Source organism: Homo sapiens, chromosome 1 (assembly GCF_000001405.40).
Source record: "Homo sapiens chromosome 1, GRCh38.p14 Primary Assembly".
NCBI lineage: Eukaryota > Metazoa > Chordata > Mammalia > Primates > Hominidae > Homo > Homo sapiens.
The window spans coordinates 22,157,386-22,159,524 of NC_000001.11; positions in this window are offsets into that span (position 1 = coordinate 22,157,386).

A 2,139-nucleotide genomic window follows, 5' to 3' on the forward strand; every position below is an offset into this window, starting at 1 on the left:
TGACCCTGGAAATGTGCCCTCAGCATCACAACCGCACTCTTGGCCCCTCCAGAATTCAGAGCCACTTTGGGAGTCCACCCTGAAGCCCAGTTCAGGCTTCCCCTTAATGTGGGGAAATTGGGTTTAAGTGAAATTGTCATCTGCTGGTTGGGGAGGAGGGACACTCAGGCCTCTGCTATTTCCTCTGGGCTCTCCCCAGCAGTCCTCACTAGGGTACCGAGAAACAGGGGCTTCGCTCATCCTCCAGAGGCAGGGTAGCCTAGTGGTAAATGCACGGGCTTTGCAGGCAGACAGTGAGACTGAGTCCCTTCCACCTCTGTGTGGTCCCTGAGGAGGAACTTCACATCCCTGAGCTGATCCTCAGTTTTCACATCTGTAAAATGGGGGGTTTCCTCAGGTTGGAGGCTTGAGGTGAGAATGTGATGAGACAGTGAAAGTGTGTGAAGCACCCGGCACATAGTAGGTGCGCACTCAGTTGCAGTTACTGTCAATGGTTGTAGCCCTGCACTGGCAGGACCTTACGCAGTGACATACAGAGATCTGGTGGCAGGAGTCTGGGTGGCGGTGGCAATTATATTTCTCAACTGTATAAATCCAGCTCCCCTTGTGGGAGGAGCTTAACCCCTGGGTTAAATGTTGGGACCAGGATCAACTGCACAGTTAAACGTACATTTCTTGGCCAGGCGTGATGGCTCATGCCTGTAATCCCAGCACTTTGGGAGGCTGAAGTGGGCGGATCACAAAGTCAGGAGTTCGAGACCAGCCTGGCCAATATGGTGAAACCCCATCTCTACTAAAAAATACAAAAATTAGCCGGGCATGGTGGCCTGTGCCTGTAGTCGCAGCTACTGGGGAGGCTGAGGCAGGAGAATCGCTTGAACCCAGGAGGCGGAGGCTGCAGTGAGGCGAGATTGTGCCTCTGCACTCCAGCCTGGGCGACAGAGCGAGACTCTGTCTCAAACAAAACAAAACAAAAAAACAGGCTGGGCGCGGTGCCTCACACCTGTAATCCCAGCACTTTGGAAGGCCGAGGCGGGCAGATCACGAGGTGAGGAGATCGAGCCCATCCTGGCTAACACAGTGAAACCCCGTCTCTACTAAAAAATACAAAAAAATTAGCCGGGCGTGGTGGCAGGCACCTGTAGTCCCAGCTACTTGGGAGGCTGAGGCAGGAGAATGGTGTGAACCCAGGAGGTGGATCTTGCAGTGAGCTGAGATCACACCACTGCACTCCAGCCTGGGCAACAGAGGAAGACTCCGTCTCAAACAAACAAACAAAACAATAAACAAACAAACAAACAAACAACAAAAAACCCATACATTTCTTAGAGGAAGGGAATTATTTTTCTGTAAAACTACTGTCTGCCAGGCATGGAGGTAGGCAGAGTCGGTGCATAATGTCCTGGGAGCCTCCATGGGTTCTAAGAGGGATCATTAACCCCATTCTACAGATGGTGCAACTGAGGCTCAGAGAAGCTGAGGGACTGACTGGTCGAGGTCACAGAGTGAATTAAGGATGAAGTGCAGATTCCGGCCTAGGTCCCTGCCTGCCCCAACTCCCATGCTCTTTCCTGCACGGACAGTGCTCAGGTCTCTGTGCTGGTCACTTCCCCAGCACCAGTGGAGGTCCAGTGAGACAGTCTGAGCAGCTTTGGCAAAGGCTCTCCTTGCTCCCATAGTAGGGGAGCCCTGGGGCGTGGCTTTGGCGGCTATGCTGGCCAGAGTGCAGGCTGAAATCTGCTCTGGGGTGACTTGGTTGAGCTCCCTGGGGGTCCAAGGGTCCAAGGAAGGGGGCAGGATTTGGCTAGTGGGCAACAGCTGGAGAGTTGGCAGCTTTCATCCCAGCATCTCCACCTTCCTCCCCAGGGCCCTTTTCTCCTCTTTCCTCTCCTCACCAGGGACACCGCCACCTTCATTCTGAAGCCCACATCCCTACTTCTTGTTAGGGAAGGGAATCAGCCTGAGGGTCCCTGGACTTGAATGAGGTCACAGTTCCCATTGTAGAGATCAGTGAATCAAGGCCCAGGGATAGGAAGGGAAACTTGGCCAAGTGGCAGAGCCAGAACCAAGAGCTCCGGACTCCCTGCCTGGGACTCCTTTCTAATTTTTTTTTCTTTTATTTATTTATTTATTTATTTT